We start from the raw sequence: 19,931 nt of genomic DNA, 5'->3' as shown, positions 1-19,931 counted from the left end.
GGTGCAGTCACAGACCCCATGCGTTCTCTTGACCACGGTGGGAAGCATAGCAGGCAGGTGACTGCTCATCAGGCCAGGAAGCCATCCCCACCTCCCCGTGAATACCAACCATTACAAAATCCTCAGGCTGAGCAAAGATGGTCATGAGGTCCATCTTTAGACACCTGGCCCACTTCCTATCCAGGGAATGTGCTGTTGGGGTGACGCTAATACGGTTAAAGCCCAAGTTGGGCTGCACTCCTCCTCTGCTCCAAATCCTCCTGTGACTCCCACTTCTCTTGGAGAAAGGCCAAAGTCCTCACAATACCCTCCCATATAGGACCTCCTATGATCTGACCACTTCTCCCACTGCTGCCTGCCCACTCTCATTACTCCAGCCCATGGGCCACCTTGCTGGTTCCCCAAATAGCTAGACATATCCCATGATGTGGAATGCCCTTTGCCAGGGATATTCTTTTTGCTGGAATATTCTCCCCAGAAAGCCTCAGAGCCCCCTCTTTGGGCCTATCCAGATGGGCCTGAACATCACCTCATCAATTACACTTACTCTGACCACCTGGCTGAACACTGCAGCCCCCTCCTCTGCCCTCCCACACCCCCATCCTGCTTCCCCCACCACTGTCGCCCTTTGACATGCAAGACAATTTTCTAAATTATGTTTGTTGACTCTCCTCCCCAGTACGGGGTAAAGCCCAGGAGTGCAGGAAGGTTAACCTGTTTGGTTCAAAGCTGGGTCCCTGGTGTGGAATGGGCCCAGCCTGCAGTTGGCACCTCACACACATTTGTGGACTTGCTGCTGAGGCAGAAGGGACCCAGTACCCCCTCCGGCTCTGCCCAGCAGCCCCCTACCCAGCTGGGGTCTGTGGGTCCTCGAGGCATGGACACACGCTCCCCTTGGCTGTGAGGAGTTCCAGAGTCAATCCAGCAGCTGAGCACTTACAGAATTGATCCGGGGGCTGGGCACATGGCTCATGCCTTTAATCCCAGCACTTTGGGAGGCTGAGGTGGGCACATCACTTGAGGTCAGGAGTTTGAGACCAGCCTGGGCAACATGGTGAAATCCCGTCTCTACTAAAAATACTAAAATTAGCCAGGTGTGTTGGTGCATGCTTGTAATCCCAGCTATGCGGGAGGCTGAGACATGAGAATCGCTTGAACCCGGGAGGTGGAGGTTGCGGTGAGTCCAAATGGTGCCACTGCATTCCAGCCTGAGCAACAGAGTGAGACCCTGTCTAAAAAAAAAAAAAAAAAAGAATGGAGGGAGGGGACAGCAGTGCTGGGGAGGGGACTGGCCAGCGAGAGATGCCCAGGGAGGAAGCTTGAGATTGGGAGACAGCCGAACTTTCCAAAGAGGGAGAGAGGTTGACTGTGCAAGCCATGTGGGCTGTGTACGTGCTGGTCACCTTTCACTGAAGACTGGATGGTGGAAAGGCAGGGGCATGTTTTGCATAGGTGACGTGTGTGAATGGTCAAAGGGCACTGACTCCTGGGGTGTCTCTAATGGTGCGCCACAAGGCTGGGCTCTCAACCCTATGCTAGTCATGCCTTTCACCAGCAGTTTATGTAAACATTTAGTAGGCATGATGATCAAATTCTTATTCTTCTAAAGATGAGAGGAATAACTAATAGTTTTCCTGGTTAGCTGGCTAGCACCAGGGGTGAAATTCACTAAATGTAACAAGACTAAATGTAAAATCTTGCTCTGAGTTCCAAAAACACCAGTTGGATGAGTACAAGAGAAAGAAGACTCAGGGGCTGTCACTGATCACAAATTCAGTACAATTAGAGTGACCAGATGACACATCCTCCAAACTGCAGCCCTGTTAATAATTACAGTGTAAACCAATTGTGTCCCCAGGAAGCTGGAGGGACGATGACTCCAAAGCTAAGTGGCTGCCCTCCAAGCTGACTCTGTTTAGATGGCATGGGTAAGGTCCACTCTGGATCACCTCAGGGGATCCCTGGGCCGCAGGGCCACCTGGAATGTTAGTTTCACCCTGGAGTTCCCAGCTATGGGCCAGGGGATGTTTCGCAGCCAAGTGGACAAGACGGGGTAAAGACCCAAATGCACCCTAAAGGAAATGGCCCCAGGGACCAGCGCTGTGTGCCCAGAGGAGGAAAGAGCTGGTTGATCTGTCTTGGAAAGCTCAAGGGCTGGCCTGTGGAAGGGAAAGTCCACACAATGCCTGTGGCCTCAGATGGCGGAACTAAGATCAATGAGGAGAGTCTGGGGGAGATGGATTTCAGGCTGTCTGAAAGAAGAACTTCCTGACCATGACAGCTGGCAGCCATCGGGTGGGCTGCCTGGATTCCCTGTCCTTGGTCCTTGGAGGCATCTGCGGTGGGGAGGCTGCAGAGGAATTTCCTATGTCCTGGAAGGGGAGAGGCCAGGTGACTCCGGAGGCTCTTGGTGGCAGTTAATGCCTCAGTGACCACCATATGTTACTGTTTGGGAAAGAAGAATCTGCCCAGAGACTCTCAATCAGGACACACGCAGAGAACTGGCGAGGTGTGCAGGAGGCGGCATTCAAGCCTGCCTTCCATCGTGCTTGCCATCTTCCCTTCTGCTGTCTCTCCCTCCCTCCTAATATACACACCTTTGCCTCCCAATATACACACCTTTGCCTTGTTCCTCTTGGCCCCTCTGTCAATGCTGAGGTGGATTTTCCCTTCCTAAATCCCCTCTCCTGCTGCTGAATTATTGAAAGTGTTGTTTGCTTTAGTGCTGTGCTGTAGGGGGGGCGCACTGCCACAGAGCAGCTGAGCTTGGAATGTGTCGACGGCCCAGGACAGCTGCCCAGGCCTCAGAATCCCTCGGTGGGGGAGTGTCCTGCACCCCGGCCCCTCTTTCTTCTCCCTTCATCATTATTTATTCATAGCTGCTGGCGTTCTGACCAGAGGATGCCGCATCCTCTCCATGTCTCACGCCACTGGCCTGAGGGCTGTGGGCAGAATGTGTGGCAAATGTCACAGCCTGGCCCAAGTGCAGGGTCGGGTTTCCATGCCAGGATCTGCAGGGACAAGCCCAAGACCTCCAGGGCATGTGTGGAAGTGGTCTGCTCACTGGGGGTTGCCCCAGTGGGGCTGCCACATTGGTACATTTCCAGGGGAAGGTTCTGCGTGCAGAGGTGTGTATGTGACCATGCATGTATACGCAGCTGTTTGTGAGGGGGGTGGATAAGGGCATCCATGCATGTGTGTGTGTGCAGATACACATGCAGCTGTGTGCGTGTGCAGGGGTATCAGGGCATCCGTGCATGTGTGTGTTTGCAGATATATGCAGCTGTGTGTGTGTAGGGGGACCGTGTGTGTGTACAGATACACAGGCAACTGTGTGTGCTGTCTGCTGTTGCCACATGTGCACTCAAGGTGTGGAGTTTTAGAGCAGAAACACTGGAACTTAACTTGGCAGAGGCCCTGCCTGTGAGCCCATTTTTCGAGGGTGATGGAGTGGCCACCCCAGAATTTAGAGGATGCAGGAGACAGGCAGCTTGTTTGAGGAAGCCACTGGCCATATGGGCAGGTCCCCAGGGCATGCAGGAAAAGGTGGCAGACCCACACCCTGACACCCCAGAGCTGCAGCCAGAAATTCACCACTGTCATCACAGACCCTCCAGAATGGAGCCCGGGGGACACAGGCTACAGAGGAAACTGCTTCTTTCTCACCCTGTGCTCCCCAAAGAGCAACCCAGCCCATGCCCGGCCACCTCTTCATTCTTTCCAGCCCCACAGCCAGCATTTGGGCATCTGCACCATGCTGGCCACCCTGGACATGACAAGTGTGGCTGAGCCCCTGCCCTCTAGGAGGTGCCTGTGTGCCCAGGGCAGGGACAGCCCAGTCCATGTGCAATGACAAGGCTGTGTGTGGGGGGACATGGAGGAGGGGCTCAAGGCCATCTCTGGTGGGCATTGTCGTCCTGTGAGCTTTCTGAGCCCAAAGCTCAACTTTCTGGACACGTGCGAGAGGACATGTGGCTGCTCACTGGCCTCGGCAAGGGGCTACAGAATGCTGCTCAGAGTCTCAGGTGCAGGGGCTTGTGCCAACTCAGAGTCCCCAGAGCTCTGGCCCTTTCAAAAGAACAGGAGCTTCCCCAAACAGCCCTGGAGCAGGGTTTGTCCTGCCATCCCAGCTTAGACATGAGGACACTAAGGTGGAGAGCAGCGACGCAGCCCACAGAGGCTGCAAGACTGGCAGTGGCAGAGCTGGGAAATGTTTGGTTTAGATGGATCTTAGGCCTCTGTACCTTCTGGCCAGGGCTGGTTCCTTGGCATGAGCTAGCACAAAGTGTTGGATCCCCAGGGAGCCATAAAGGGCTTTAGATCTGCTAGAAATCAGGCTGCCGGTAGAAATCAGGCTGCAGGTAGAAATCAGGCTGCAGGTAGAAATCAGGCAGCAGGTAGAAATCAGGCTGCGGGTAGAAATCAAGCAGCAGTAGAAATCAGGCAATGGGTAGAAATCAGGCAACGGGTAGAAATCAGGCAGCAGGTCCCTATGGCATCGGCTCTGGTGGAACACCTGCTTTCCTACCCTCAGGTGTTTGTGGCTGGTGGAGGTTTTTGGGCAGTCTCATTCTAGAGCTTGCAACATGAGCAACTCATATTTCTGCCCTCTGCACCCCTCCCCATCTGCACCTCCACCCTTCCCCGCTCCTGCCAGGCATCCATGCCAGCCCCAGAGACTCAAAGCTGATGCTGCTGCCTGCATCCTGTCACCTCCCCTGGGCTTGCCCAGCCAGAGAGCTATGGGCGGCGGCCTTGGAGGGGAGCCAGGGAGCAGAGCCAGAGGCTCCAGCCACCGACCCCCACCTCCTCCTTCCCAGCGAGCCCTCCTTCCACTCAGCCAGGTCCCCATGGAAGGAGTGACAGGGTGGGAAGACCTCTGTGGGTCTGGGTGGGCTCTCACTGAAGACGATCATGAATTCGCCCGGACCCCACCTTACCACAGCTGGACACAGTTGGGTTGGGGGACCCAAGTTACCCTCCAGGGAAGGAAAGTCCTGGGTGTTTAGTCTAGGGCTGGCCCTTGAGGCCACCAATGCAGGCCCAAGGGGGACAAGAGGCCCCCCAACCTGCATCACTCTCTCACTCTCCAGAGGAAAGAGTGGAAGCATGAGAGCAGAGCCAGCACATGAGACCTCACGCAGCCACCCGCCTGCAGCCACCCCAACACTAACCGGCCTCTGGGCCTCATTGTTGCTCATTGGAAGAAACTCTGAGAACCATAGAAAGAAGTCTCTTTTGTCTATTCAAAGAGCAGGCAACCGCCCGGGTGGGCTCTGGCCTTCAGGCCGATGGTGGAGCAGGCTCCCGACCGGGCCCTGGGCCTGGGTCCCTGGCTGTATACAGCCCATGGGTGGCACTGGCCAGAGATGATGGGCAGCGAGGCAGGTCGGCTGAGAGGCCTCTGTCAACAGCGCTCAGCCGGCATCGGCTTTTCGGCAGGGCTGAGCGGAAATCCTGGCTGCAGGGCAGTGAGTCCTCAAAGGTCCTAGCCCCCAGCAGGGTGGGTTAGTGGAGAAGGTATCGGAGTCCCTCATGGATGGGGTGTCCTGGAAAACGCTGAGGCAGGACAGACGTTAGATGCAGGCTCTCCTGCAGGCGGTGGCCCCACCTCCCTGCACTCCACCCTCTCACCCCTGCTGCACCCAATGCACATTCAACTTCTGCGCCTCGTCTCTGATTGGCCCACGCTCCAGGCCTGGAGAGCCGCCCCGCCTCTGCAGGAGCTGCTTCTCCTCCCTCCCTGCTGCTCCAACTTGGGGCTGGGGTCTCCAGGCAGTGTCACCTCTCTGGCCCTTCCAAATCTCATCTCCCACCCTCTGAAGCCAAGAGGGACCTTATGAGAATTGTTCTAACCTTCAGTAAAGTGTCCTCCCCATTCCGGTATCCGTGAGATCTGCTAGGCTGGAAGGTTTTGTGTCCCCCCGACACACACACACACACACCCTCCCCTGGGTCCCCTGCTTGATGAGCGCTGGAATCAGGACGCTGTAGTTCAACTCTGAACAGAGATCCAGGCAGCAGGAGTGACTGCGACAGGGCAGTGCCGGGCAGGACCCCATCGATGGGCGAGCGGAGAGCAGGCACGGAGCTGAGCAACCTGGGGAAATAAAGCGAGAGGCAGAGACACAGGGAGAGGGAGAGAGGACCTGGAGTGAGCAGGAGCGAGCGGGAGGCAGAGAGGAGAGCCGCACTTCCTAAGACAGCTGCAAGTGACAGCTAAACTGAGTGCCAGCGTTGGGGGACCAAGCCCCTACCCCCACCAACCTGCCGCCAGCGGCCGCTTCCCTGATTGGGTCTCCTCCCCTCCTCCCCGGGAGCCTGCTGTGGAGCCGCGGTTCCGAAATGATGATGTATTTTTGGGTATGTACCAAGCGTGGACTGCGTGTTGCTTTCTCACTCTGGGCAGATCTGGGGCTGAAATGTTGGGAAGCTCAGCGTGCTCCCCCCACCCCCCCACCCCGTGCCTTCCCAGGCCATGCCACCCTTCCCCCAGGGCCCAGCAGGCAGGGGTGCCGGTTGGAGGTGTCCCCAGACAGGAAGTGCTGGCTGTCGGCCAGACTGTTCTAGGTGGGCCTCGGATGCAGACGGTGGGGCTGGGACAGGGGGCTGGGACAGGGGGCTGGGCCCAGCCTCCAGTAATACCCGGCAGGGGATACACTAGCCCAAACTTCAGATGGCTCCCAGGAACCCAGCACACCAGCCCCAGCCCCACAAGCTCCCCTCCCCCTTATCCTGTGCCTTTACTCCTCCCGCTTCCCAAACAAAATCAGGTGTGGGAAACCGGACCCTGGGAAGGAGTGGTGAAGCATGGCTGTGAGCCCCAGCCGACCTCCCCGGAGCTCTGAGCCCAGACACGAGCAGCTTGCAGAGGCCCTGGGGAGAGTAGGCGCCCCCACTCTGCAGCCTCCCCCACCTTCCTCTGCGAGCCCCTGTGCCTTTTGGCAAAGGAAATGAAAAATCAGGGTAGGGGTCTGGGCCAGACAGGCCTGAAGGGGCAGTACCAGGCGAGGCCAAGCAGGAAGGGGCCCTCACAGTGAGGGGAGGACCGGGCCATCCTAGCTCAACTGGGCGGAACTGGGAGAAGAAGGAAAGGTTTAGGGTATGTGTGTGTGTCTGTGTGTCTTTGTGTGTGTGTGCACGCGCACGCACATGCACACACTTTGGAGAAGGCTGCATATCCCCGGATCATCAGCCTCTAGGCTTGCGCAGAAGTGGTTTGGAAATCTGTGTGAATTTGTTGTGCTTTCCGTGTAGGGTGAACTTTTCCCCTGTGCCCAGCCAGCAGCCTCAGCCCAGGAACACTTCCCAGGCAGGGGCAACCCCACATCCGGGTACCCCTTCCCAGCCTGACCTCTGGGTCCAGACACAATCTACCCTGCAGCATGGAACTCCAGGGCCACAGTCCAGCCCCATCACCAGGAGAAGGGCTCAAGGGCCCTGGAGCCCCACTGGGAGGGCCTGACCCCGCACAGGTGCCTGTGGGGCCCACACCAAGCAGCTGGACTGTGGGTCCAGCAGGGGGTCCGCAGAGCAGGCTGAGGCCGCAGGAGCCATGGCAGCCGTGGAGAAGGGACGGATGGCCCCTGGGAGTCAGAATCGCGAGGGTCAAGCTCACCGCTGGTCACCCCATGGGCTGAGCTCTGCTGTGCTTTGCTGACTCTGCTCCCATTCAGGGCAAAATTGGGGCAAGGATGTGCCCGGGTGCTCCGGCCTCCATGTCTGCACCGAGGCCTTTGGTTCTACCAAGAATGCCCTGATGTGTCCCACTAGTCCCCCTCCTCATTCTTCAAGGCCAGCCTCAGCGACCACTTCCCCAAAGACATTCCCTGAGCCTGCAGGCAGAATGGAACCCTGTTCCCTGACCTCCCTGCATCTCGGCTCCCGGCCCTGACCTGGCGTGTGTGAGCCGGCCTAGGAGCCCCTTCAGAGGTGGGAGGGGGCTTCCGTCTCTGGTTAGGGTCTGATTGCCGGGCTCCTCTGGGGGTCTTCCTCCCAGAACTCCCCCTCTCCCCAGCAGGGGCTCTGCCTGTCCTCAGCCACGCTCGGCCAAGCCCTGGGGGCCGGGCCAGTGCTCCTTTGCTGGACCTTCCAGGCTATTTTGGGATGGGACGGAACCTGATCGGGGAGCCTCTCCTTCTCATCTTCCCAGGAGCCAGATCCCCGGCTCCACTTCCAAGCTGGGATTTGCAGCTGGGCAGAGAACCAGGCCCCCATAGGAGGATCCTCCTCCTCTCCTGCTGTCCCTCCCTGAGCCATGTCACCCACCCCAGTGTGGGAGACGGCACCCAAACGCTGCCACCCCCCAAGTCCGAACCCCACCAGGACCCCCTCCCAGCCTCGCCAGCTCGATTCCTGTTGTCCACCTGATGCCCACACACTCCTCAAACTCACACTCAAAAATGAGCCTTGAAAACTGCTGTTTCCTTCAGACTGGCTTCTCCATCCTTGCCCTGCGGATCACCAGTGGGTACCACCGTCCACCTGACCCCAGCTCCCAGAGTGGGTCCTGCCTCCCTCTACCCCGACTTCCCACTCAGCTTCCAGGCCCAGCCCCAGCCCCGCCTGCCCCGATCAAATCTCACCTTCGTAACACAGAGCGCTAACTTCTCCCCACCCTGCCCTCTCAGCTCCACCTCACCCCGCACCTCCTTCCGGCTCCTCCCTAAGCCCCGTGGCCCAGCCAGGCTGAGCTGCTCCAAGGTTAATCTGAACATCTGCCGTGTTCTCCTTTGGGCTTGTTCCACCTAAAAAAACACCCTGCCTCCCACCCCACCCCCATAACTGGCTCCTGCTTGACTTCAGGGTGAGCTTTCAGGCAGAGACATGAGGGGCTGCTGCAGGCATGGAGTCAAGGGCAGCTTAGCTGTCACCACCTCCAGGAAGCCCTCCCTGAGCACCCCACAGCCAGATGCCATTTCCTCCTCTGCACCCCCACCCTCATCCTTGGGTGCTCCTGTTACCCATTCACCCCTCCATCTCCCCTCTGCCTGCAGCTCCCTCGAGCACCCTGGCTGGGTCTTGTTCAGTTCTTGTTCCTGGTATCTGCCCTGTGTCTGATGTTCAGCTGGGGCTCTGGGAACACTGAACACTGAAATGAACGAGTGAGTGATTGAAAGAATGAGTCTGTTCCGAGATGCAGGATGGGACCTGGCCAGGGGTATCCCCTGAAGCAGCAGCTCTGTAGGGCTCCCCACTCTTGTGCAGCCTCCTCTCCCATCCTCGAGTGAACATATCTCCACCTCCCATGGGCATGGCTTTTCAAGGGCAGCACTGGAGATATTGTTGCTCCCATTTTAAAGCTGGCAAACTTGCGGCCAATGATTTCTGTGCTCATTGTGAAGGGGACAGTTGCCAGCAGAGCCAAGGGGCCTGGCCTTGGCAAAGCAAGAGTGGGTTGCAGGGAGGAACCTGCCCCCAGGCCCTTTCAGCTTGGCCGTGCGGGGAGGGGCTCCCCTTGGTAGCAAGGGTGTGGAGGTCACTGCTGTTCTGTGAGAGAGGCCCAGAGTGGGGGGCCCCCTGCCTGCTTTGGGGGTATCTCTGCCTTCGGATGTTTCACCTGGGGATACCCCCTGGAGGAGGGCTGCCACCACGGTGGGGAGACAGGGGCCGGGGGTAAAAAGGCTGCTGGGGTCTGGGCAGTGGGCTCAATGGCAGGGGCAGGGGACTCGTGTTCCTCAGGCCTGCTCTGGGATCTGGCTCTGCCACTTGGCAGCTGCATGACCCTGGACAAGTCACCAAGTCTCTCTGAGCCTCAGGTGGCTCATCTGTAAAGTGAGATCAGGTTGGGTGAAAATTACTGTTTGCGTGTTCTGTGCCCGGTCAAGCAGGACAGGGATATTTGCTGGCAGGACAGGGAGACGCCAGAACGGGTGGGCATGTGACCCTGTCCCCACCTGGGTTCTGCTCACTGCCACAGAGAAGCCCACACCAGCCGTGGGGCCTGTGCTCTGGGCCTGAGGGGCCATGGTACCTTCCTTCCTGCAGGAGACTGGGCTCAGCCCAACGTGCTCCTCATCTCCCTCCTCTCACTCCTGCCCCCTGGCCTCATGCTGGTCCTACCTCTAAGCTGCTCCTACAATGCCCCACCCCTCCTTCCTGCCTGCCCCCCAGTCCATCTCCACTCCAGGCCCTCCAGGTGGTCCCAGCCAGGAGACCCCTCCCCACCTGCTCCGTGGTCCCCATGGTCTCCACCTTCTTCCGTCAGGTGGGTACACTTCCTCACATGGACCCTGTGTCCCAAGAATGCCACACACCGCAGAGACCACAGTGGCTCTCAGAGCCTCCTCACAGATGGCGTCTCAGCTCGCCTCACCTACGCCTGGGAGGCAAACAGGCTGGGCTGCTCTCCCCACCCAGCTGGGGGGCCACAGAGGTGGCAGTGACATATCCAGGTCACCAACCCAACTGTGATGTCCAGGACCAGAACCTGGTCTCCAGCTCCAAAGCCCAGACAGTTACATCTTGACCCCCGCTGGGCTGAGGACGCTTGGGGGCAGGGGACAAGTGCTGGACCCCTGGGTGACCCCAAGACCATCAGCTCCAGCCCTGCGTCCGCTGCTTGCAAGGCTATCGGGTTAAACCTGACTCTGGCTCTGACCTCTACTCAGGAACCCTCAGGACGACGTCCAAATGCCTGCACCAGCATCCACAGCCGCCAGAGTGGCTTCCCACTGCCTTGGGGACAAAAGCAAAGGACACATTGAGCCCGGCAGTGTGCCCAGCAGGCACCGAGGCAGTGGGTGCTCCGCTTCAGGGCAGGCTGAGAGAGGGCGGTGCCCAGCGTGGCATGGCTGCCTACAGCAGAGCCAAGCCTGGGGGATACGCTCCTGCTGGGCTACGTCCAGCCATGCACAGCCTTTGGGGACCAGTTTATTCCTCTATGTGCTATTCCCTGAGCCCTGCCCTTCCATCTTCTGTGAGTCCCCGCACACCAGGGGTGCCTGTCTTACCCAGGGCACCAGCTGACTGTGAGCTCCGTGTGGGCAGGAGATGAGTCTGAGTGGTCGGTCAGCAGTGCCCTGGAAAGGGGAGAGGCTTGGCAAGGACTCAAGGAACAGATGGAGAAAGGAAGGGAGGTTGGAGGGAGAGAGGGAGCGTGTTGACAGTGCTACGTCCTTGGCATGGCAGAGCAGGGGCCACACGTCTGAGCATGAGTAGGGTGCTTTCCAGAGGCGTCTCCTACCACGGTCACATTCATAGGTCTGGAAACCAGTGTGACTCTTTGGTTGACGGGGCTGCAGCCCAGAGCGGAGGACCTCCCTGCCCCTACAGCCTCAGCGTTGCTGGGCTCAGCTCAGAGCTGCACGAGGGCGGCAGCATGCAGTCTGGGGCCTGGGAGCTTCAGCCGGGAGCCCTGCGGGGGCCAGCACCTCCCTCCCACTTCCCCCAGAGCCAACCCGATGGGACAAACAGATGGCACAGGAAGATGGCCTGGGGTGTGTGAACATTGCCCTGCCCAGGAAGGGGAAGGGCAGGGAGCCAGGGGGTGGGCTCATGTCACTCCCCCAAGCCCTGCAGCCGCTGGGTCTTGTGCAGGAGTGACGGGTGTGGGGGCAGCACCAGCGGGTGGCTTCATAATTGACCGGCACCAGGCGAAGATGCCAAGGCAGAACGTCTCCAAATTAGCGGTAATTGCCAGAGAAATAAAGAACAAACAGGGTGAGCTGAATGAGGCTTTCTATAAATATTATGTTTTTTAAAGTTTGCCCTGGAGTAATAGAAGCTGTTTAAACGCTAATATCCTGTCTGTGCATTTAACAAGCCTTGTAATGAGGATTTAGTGTCTGTTTCCTAGGGCCGTCTAGTAGCTGGGGGCCCCTGGGCCTCCAGCCTCCCCTCCTGGGCTTCCCAGATGGCCACCCTCCCAGGAACCTGGGGAACAGACCCAGCTTCAGCCCTGCCTGGGAGCCTGGGCTCCTCCTCTCTCTCCCTGGACAGCCACAGAGGCCAACCCTTCCTGCTTCCTCCGAGACCCCCCCCAGACATCCCTCCCACTTGGCCTGCCCCAGGGAGCCCCTCTTCTCCCATCTCTCCTCCTCCTCCCTGGGTGCCAGGGTGGGCAGCAGCGTCCTCCCAGTCACACTGATCCAAAGGGCTTTGCATCACTTTTCTCAAGAAGAGAGCCCCCACCCTCCCTGGTTGCTGGACCTGCGGGCGGGAGGGCTTGTCTAATTAATGAGGAGACAGGGCTTTCCTCCATGAGGCACCTCCATGACCATGTCTGATTTTTATTAAAAATCATTAAGCAAAGTGTTTTTTCATGCCGGCAACCAACACACAGCCACTTTCACGTTGTAAGTGAGATAGCTCCGTGCGTTGCTGGAGAGGCCGACTTTATCAGGGTCCTAATACCCACGGGTGGCAAAGCTCTGGTGAGGGGCAGTTCCTAAAGAGAGATCCATCATGGTTTACCAAAGAAGTTCACTTGACTCCATTTATTTCAGTCCCTCCTACCAGAGCTGGGCGGCGCCATGCGAGGGTTGGCTGTAGTTCACCGGGCCTCCCAACATCCGCTGGCACCACCTTCGGAAACGGAACCAAGTCTGATCCGCTGAGTGTTTAGGGGCTGTGGCCCACAGGTCACAGGCAGCACGCGATGTCTTGGCTTCCTTCACATCCTCAATTCCCAAAACCCAGCAATGCCCAGTACAGAATGGCTGAGGAGACCCTCTGGGCTTGTGCATGGAGTGTGGCCGGCTGGAAAGTCAGGTTTCCTGTGACGTTCGCAGCCCTTTGTCCTTGGGGTACAAATGTTCCCAAAGTTATATCTGGTGGGAGTCCAAGAGAGGAGGAGAGATTTTAGCTATCAGCTGGTCAACATTTGTTGGCGGTGCCGAGTGGATACACCCTGTTAGGTGCAAAGTGCCCCTAATGGTCGCAGTCCCCGGGGAAGGCTCAGGACATCCAAGATGGAAGGACTTAGGAAATCTCACCAAACAAGCATGTGGATAAAGGGGGAGTGACAGGAGAGTGGGGCTGACCCTGGGGGAGGAGCCTCTGGATGGGCCCCACTGGTTGGCGGGGTGGGAGGCCAAGAAGGGGAGGGCCAGCCCTTGACTTTGGCCCTCATCTCACCCTCCCCCGTCTGGCTGTTGCTGGATTTAGGTCCTGGTAGCAGTTGCGGGTGCATATTTTGGGGACTTGACGCGAGGCCTGGACTGCTGGTGAAGACACAGCTTCCCTTGTGGAATCTGCAGGGCTGTGGATCCAGGTGCCCCCCCGCCGCGTCCTTCCCCTTCCTGGGTGAGTGCAGGGCAGGGAGGCGAGGGAGCCACCTGCTCCAACACCACCACCCTAAACCCTTGACCCTCAACCCTCATCTGCTCACAAGAGAAACAGGGGAACTTTATCCTCTTTTTCATTGTCATTAAAATATTCATGTCCAGGCTGGGCGTGGTAGCTCACACCTGTAATCCCAGCACTTTGAGAGGCCAAGGCGGGCAGATCACTTGAGGTCAGGAGTTCATGACCAGCCTGGCCAACATAGTGAAACCCTGTCTCCACTAAAAATACAAAAAATTAGCTGGGCATTACAGGCGCATGCCTGTAATCCCAGCTACTCAGGAGGCTGAGGCAGGAGAATCTCTTGAACCTGGGAGACGGAGGTTGCAGTGATCTGAGATTGCGCCACTGCACTCCAGCCTGGGCAACAGAGCCAGACTCCAACTCAAACACTGTAGCTGAGGTGACATCTGTTTCCAGGCCCCAGGAAGTTGTCTGGGTCCCCTAAGGGAGAGAATGGGCCTGGCTTCTGTTTAGAGCCAGGCACTTTCTCCCATTCCCCGCCCCTCCCCACAGCCTGCTTTTCTCATTCTAGGACAAAAGGGGAAACAAGTGGTAGTGTGGGGACTGTCAGCGACATTTGTGATTGAAAAGGAGCAGAGAGAGTAAGGCCTGCAATTACGGGGAGGCCCTCCAGGGCTGGGGAAGAACCAGGCTCTGGGAATTTGCTTGTGAAAGAAGTTAAGTTGCTCTGAAATCTACTCTTTATGAAGAACAAGGAAGGAAGTGCAGAATAAGGAGTCAGGAGTTGCGGACTGGGGGGCCCAGGGTGAGACCCGACCCCCTAAAAACAGGGTGGCCCCTGCAGCAGTCCTACAGGAAGGAGAAATTGGGAACGGGCAGCGCCAGGAGCCCGGCTGCAGGAGGGAAGGAAGGAGCAGCCAGAGAGGCTGGAGCAAGTGCGGCCCCTTCCTTCCTCCCAGGCAAATGGGGAGGGGAGGAGGAGAAAGGAGTCACGTAGGAGCCCAGGCGGAGCAGCCCTGCCCCAGCCCCAGCCCCAGCCTGGAAGAACCCAGGGCAGCGGGTGGCCAAGGGTGTCTAGAGTTTGAAGGTTTTCCTGGAGAAGAGTCCAGAGACCCCAGCCCTTCTCCCTGGGGCCATTTTTCTGCTGTCTTGTCCCTGGCATGGTCGAAGATGCCCAGGTGGGCCCGTCTTTGGGCGCTGGTCAATTTCCCCAATGCAGCGGGACTCCAGGAGGGAGGGTGCTGGCTGGTTGTCTTCCAAGACCCCAGGAGACCAGAGCTTTCGGGAGCTTGGCCTGGCCACAACCTCCTGGGCCCGCTGGGGGAGTTCCTTGTGGGCAGGGGTCTCATCTGTCTTGTTCCCCCCCACGTATCCCCGTGCCCAGCAGTCAGCCTGGCACAACCCAGGTGACCAGGAGAGGTGCTAAGAGAGGGCCTAACCGAAAGTCCAGGGCTTAAGGGAGGACCAGGGCAAAGCGTTGTGGTTGCTTTGAGGAGAGTTACCAGTGGTTCTGGTAAAGGGATCTAGAAATGCCCCAACCAGCAGTGAGAAGTCATATTAGGATTGGAGGAGTCAGGGCTGGAGATGGACCGGGGTACAGCCCTGCCGGAGCCTGGGACTCTGACCTTGGGGTATCTGCAGCTGCCTCCCTGTCTGTCCAGCCCCCCGGAGTCTGAGCGTGGGAAGGAGGCATCCGCAGGGGATGAGTAGCAGGGCTCTCCCAGGCTGCTGGCAGCAGCGACACGGCCCCTATCCCTGTTAACTGCACGCCAGCGTCCACCTGGAGCCAGTCCCAGCAGCTCTGCTGAAACCTGGGTTCAGCATACGATGATCTCAAAACTTAATTATGGAAAGAAGTTGGGATTAAGGACCCTTCCATTTATCTTCCTGCCTGCTGTGGCTTGTCAGCAGCTCGGATCTGGAACGTCCTGCTCATGGTTCCGGAGGCTGAGCGGGCAGGAGGTGGCGGAGGCTGGCGTTGGCAGGGTCAGAGGCACAGGCTGCCGTGTGCCAAAATGAGCATCCTGATTCAGGGCTTGTGCCTCCCCACGACGGAAGCCACAGCCACCCACCAGACCAGCCCGCATCGGGCCGTGCTGCCTGCCAGGAAGCCTGTGTTCCCACCGTCTGCTCCGTGGCCCAGGACTGAGACCGCCGGACGCTGGAGAAGGTGTTGGAACCTCCAAAACTCGGCACCCTCATGGTGTTTTGGAGCTCCTGCTGTGGGTTGCACCCTCTGCCCAAGCCGCACACCATAGCACATGTGAGTCACGCACCCCACCTCTTGCTGTGTCTCTGCAGGCAACCTCCTCCTGTTTATTTGTATGGGACAAGAACTATATGCGGACACCTGTGCAGGACACTGGGGATACCGAGGTGGCCCATCCCTCTGCAGAGGTGCTCACTGCTCGCTGCCTAGAGGAGACCAGGACTGAGATCACCGGACGCTGGAGAAGGTGTTGGAAACTCCAAAACTCGGCACCCTCATTGTGTTTGGGAGCTCCTGCTGCGGGCTGCACCCTCTGCCCATGCTGCACATCCCCACCAGGCACCAGACGTGCAGATGGAGGGTGGTAGGGCACTCCTCCACATCACCTACCCCAGCCCCATCTCTTGAAGGGCAACTGGCAGAACAGGACAAGAGCCACCCGACCCTTCAATTCCATAATCCCGCCCCGGGACCATATCCCTGAGAAATAATTCAAAAGATGAAAAAAGCTGGACGTGCCAAGATATTTATAGCAGCAGAAGAAACCCCTCTGGCATCATCTTACCTGTCCGCCGTAAAGGGATAGTTACGTGAAGTATGCGGCGGGCACTCGATGGGATATTGTGCGGCCGTGAGACCTGATGGGTAGGAAGTCCCCGTACAAGGGAAGCCGTCTCTGTATATCATCAAGTGAAAAAGCAGGACCCCTGATTACAGCGAGGTGAAAACTATAACCGCATGGAGATGAAGAGCAGATGCAGCCAGAGAGAAATGAAGACGGTGGCATTAGCGTGAAGACGCCGGGGGTCCAACTCTGAAAAAACACTGAAGAAATAAAAAAAGTTCACAAAAGAATAGCCTCCCTCCTTGACCAGGCACCTGCCCATTGCCCTAACCGGGTGGCCCCCTGCACTCCCCACTCCATATCCCTCCCCCCAGGCAGGTACACTCTTCCCTCGGGCTCCAGAGGTTATCTAGCCAGGGCAGAAGCTGAGCCTGTGTGTCTGTTGTTTTTGCAGGATTTGCTAAGGCGCCTCTGTGCGCACACAGAAACGCTGTCCTTTCTTTTCTTTCTTTTTTTTTTTTTTTTGAGATGGAGTCTTGCTCTGTCGCCCAGGCTAGAGTGCAGTGGCGTGATCTCGGCTCACTGCAAGCTCCGCCTCCCAGGTTCACGCCATTCTCCTGCCTCAGCCTCCCAAGTAGCTGGGACTACAGGCGGCCACCACCACGCCCGGCTAATTTTTTGTGTTTTTGTTTAGTAGAGACGGGGTTTCACCATGTTAGCCAGGATGGTCTCGATCCCCTGACCTCGTGATCCACCCGCCTCCGCCTCCCAAAGTGCTGGGATTACAGACATGAGCCACCACGCCCGGCCAGCGCCGTCCTTTCATAGCACATGTGAGCCATGCACCCCACCTCTTGCTGTGTCTCTGCAGGCAACCTCGTCCTGCTTATTTTTATGGGACAGGTACTATGTGCAGACACCTATGCTGGACACTGGGGTACCGAGGTGGTTCATCTCTCTGCAGAGGTGCTCACTGCCTAGAGGAGGAGAAAGTCAAGTCCCCAGTATGGGGAATGAGAGGCCACACCTGCGGTGCCGGCCACATTTTGTTCCATGGTGCTTTGGAAGTGGGAGTTCCGTTTGGTTCAATGGGTGTGTCCCGAGTGCCTCTGTCCTGCCTGCCACACTCAGCCCTGGAGACACAACAGGGATGAAGCCTTGTCCCTGCCCCCTGGGAGGTCCCGGAGCTGTGCATTAATAGTTACAGAGCAGGTGCAAACATGGTGATGGGGTTCAAACAATGTGGGCACCCAGAAGGAGGCACTGGCCTGCTCCTGGGATGGGGGCACATCACAGAAGGCCTTGTGCAGGAGGGCTGGCCCAGCCACATCACCAACCACAACTCACATGGGTGGCCTGGTGGGAGAGGGGAGGAATGGGCACGTACAGAAAGAGCAGCCAGGGGCCGGGCGTGGTGGCTCACGCCTGTAATCCCAGCACTTTGGGAGGCCGAGGCAGGCGGATCACAAGGTCAGGAGATCGAGACCATCCTGGCTAACACGGTGAAACCCTGTCTCTACTAAAAAAAAGTACAAAAAATTAGCCGGGCGTGGTGGCGGGTGCCTGTAGTCCCAGCTACTTGGGAGGCTGAGGCAGGAGAACGGCGTGAACCCGGGAGGCAGAGCTTGCAGTGAGCCGAGATCACATCACTGCACTCCAGCCTGGGCGACGGAGCGAGACTCCGTCTCAAACAAAAAAAAAAAGAAAGAGAGAAAGAGCAGCCAGGGTGGAGATGGGAGTGAGGTCCTGTGGGGCCCCTTAAGGCAGGAGCAGGGCCCTAGGAGCAAGCGTGGGGACACGGTCAGAATAATTCTGGCTTCAGACAACATCTCTCCACCAAGAGCCTCCCCTCTGCCTCTGCCTCTGCCTCTGCCTCTGCCCGGGAAGGGCCTCCACCAGCCAGGTGGGCATCTTTCACTCAAGGTTGCTCAATGCCACTTGCCTGGCACCCACACTTCCATGAGAAGATGAACAGCTGACCGTGTTTTCAAAGATACCACCTGGGGAAACAGCCAGAAGCTGGAAGTCATCCCAAGAGAGAAGTCAGCCAGGGGTTGGAGACCCCAGCAGAAGGCAAGTGCCTCTTTTCTCTTCCTTGACCCAACCTTCCCGACTGACTCCCAGCCCCACCCCTTCCCCGGACTGCTTGGAGGGCCGAGGGGAGCCCCTTTGGTTTCCAGGCGGTCGAGGCCTTTGGCTATTGGCTGGGATGGCCTGGCCGGGTGTGTGTGTGACAGAGACAGCCTGGCTGGGCAGGAAGGACCAAGAGTCTTGGTTCTGTGCCTGAATCCTGTCTTGAGAGCCACAGCTCGGGGCTGACAGCTGGAGACCCGCACTGCCAGCAGCATCTCAGCTCTGCTGTATCCGCTTGGTTGTGGTTCTACCAACAGAGGGGAGAGGGAGTGTTTCTGCAGTGACTGTAAATAAGCCTTTCCCTCCAGACGCAGGAAGAAGGGCGTGAGGGGAGAACAAAGGGAGGGAGACACCAAGAGCTGGCCAGAGAAGGGCCACCTTTCACCCAGCCCAGCCGAGGCTTGCCGAGGCTCCCGCGGTCCCGGACTTGTGGCCCATACTGTTTTAAAAGAAAGGGCCAAAACATTGATTAATTGTATAGCTAAAGAAATAACCATTCCTCCTTTTGGGGGCAAGACTGGCTGGCCGCAAAAGAGCTGAGGATGAGCAAGAAGAGAGAAGGGGAGGGAAAGGAGGTGTGAGCGTGCAGGAGGCGCTGCCTGGAGGTGCCCTGGTGTGCACCCCAGTCTCCAAGTGGCCGACGGGAAAGTTCCTGAAGGCCAGTCCTCCCCAGAGGGCAGCACAGAGACTTGCAGACACCCCCCTAGAAAAGGGAAGGGAGCTTAGGCCCGCGAGAGGAGGGCGTGTTCCAAAGTTTCCTGTTCCTGGAGCTTGTCCCAAGAAATCCCAGATCCCTTTGCCCAGTGGGCTGACCCCACAGCCCATAGGCCCAGGGACCCAGCCCGAGCCTGGCCACAGGGAATAACCCGAGAGGCTTCTTGGTAAAGCTTGCAAGGGGCCCTGGTGCCACGCTGGGAACAGTGCAGGCCTCGCTAGGGGTGGAGCAGCATCCAGGCACCTCTGACCGTAGCTCCCTGACTCTGGCCTCAGGCCACTGAGCAGGTGGCTAATCGAGGGACACTGGGGGCCTCACTCAGGTCCAGCAGTGAGTTTGGGCACATGGAGAGGAAGTTTCAACTCTGTACCTGTCCTGGTGACATGGGAAAGGAGCGTTTCATTCCTGTTAAATATGAACCATTAAGCCCAATAAGCTCATTAGACCATGGGTGATAATCTTCTTCATACTTTCCTCTGTTTTCTGAATCGTAAAACAACCCTACTAATTATAATATTAGGCAGAGGCACTTTTAACCCAGTAAGCATTTGGAAACTCTTCTACTGGGGAGACAGGCAAACAGAGAAAACTTGCATGGCTTTTTTCTTTGCATGGGAAACTTCAGATTTCAAATCTTGTCTGTCTTAGTCTAGAGTTTTCTCCCCAAAGCAGAGTTTGAGACAAGGGCTTGCATGCAGGAGGTTTATTTTGGGAAATGAGCCAAAGGAAAGGGGGCTGGGAAAAGTGAAATGGGGAGGAAGAAAGCCATTCCAGGTGTACTATTGAGTCAATGAGATGGGGAGTGGTTCCAAGACTCAATCCAGTTAGGACTTCTCTGAGGAGTGGTGTAGAAGGCACTTTCTGAGCTGCCCACCTGAGGGATAGAAGAGGGAAGGTTGCATCCACCAGCTGCCATAGCCCACAGCGCAGGGTGCACCATGGGGTGTTAACTGGCCGGCACATTCAGGTTTGTTCCTGCCAGGGGACAGCTGAGCAGTGGTGGCCTGGAGAGACTCACTAAGTCAAGTTGTCTTCAGGCTACATCTGTGGACAGCTGATGG

The 19,931-nt window shown here is 57.6% G+C and overlaps 1 protein-coding gene across 58 annotated transcripts in view, besides 3 other annotated features; it reads left to right on the top strand.

Moving 5' to 3' along the window:
* The window catches only part of RBFOX3 (RNA binding fox-1 homolog 3), a 576,227-nt gene that overhangs the window by 439,028 nt on the left and 117,268 nt on the right, over nucleotides 1-19,931 (top strand). The gene's annotated exons all lie outside the window — the stretch shown is intronic.
* Nucleotides 2,387-2,887: an enhancer, noted in NCBI's record as "H3K4me1 hESC enhancer chr17:77219739-77220239 (GRCh37/hg19 assembly coordinates)". NCBI's record gives its function as "activates a minimal SCP1, AML or CMV promoter by ChIP-STARR-seq in primed H9 embryonic stem cells {active_cell/tissue: H9 hESC(primed)}" and the evidence as "EXISTENCE:reporter gene assay evidence [ECO:0000049][PMID:30033119]".
* Nucleotides 2,888-3,388: an enhancer, noted in NCBI's record as "H3K4me1 hESC enhancer chr17:77219238-77219738 (GRCh37/hg19 assembly coordinates)". NCBI's record gives its function as "activates a minimal SCP1, AML or CMV promoter by ChIP-STARR-seq in primed H9 embryonic stem cells {active_cell/tissue: H9 hESC(primed)}" and the evidence as "EXISTENCE:reporter gene assay evidence [ECO:0000049][PMID:30033119]".
* Nucleotides 14,887-15,397: an enhancer, noted in NCBI's record as "H3K27ac-H3K4me1 hESC enhancer chr17:77207229-77207739 (GRCh37/hg19 assembly coordinates)". NCBI's record gives its function as "activates a minimal SCP1, AML or CMV promoter by ChIP-STARR-seq in naive H9 embryonic stem cells {active_cell/tissue: H9 hESC(naive)}" and the evidence as "EXISTENCE:reporter gene assay evidence [ECO:0000049][PMID:30033119]".

This window comes from Homo sapiens, chromosome 17 (assembly GCF_000001405.40).
Source record: "Homo sapiens chromosome 17, GRCh38.p14 Primary Assembly".
Taxonomy (NCBI): domain Eukaryota; kingdom Metazoa; phylum Chordata; class Mammalia; order Primates; family Hominidae; genus Homo; species Homo sapiens.
The sequence above is the reverse complement of the archived record's forward strand: the minus strand, read 5'-3'. Positions and strand labels throughout refer to the sequence as shown.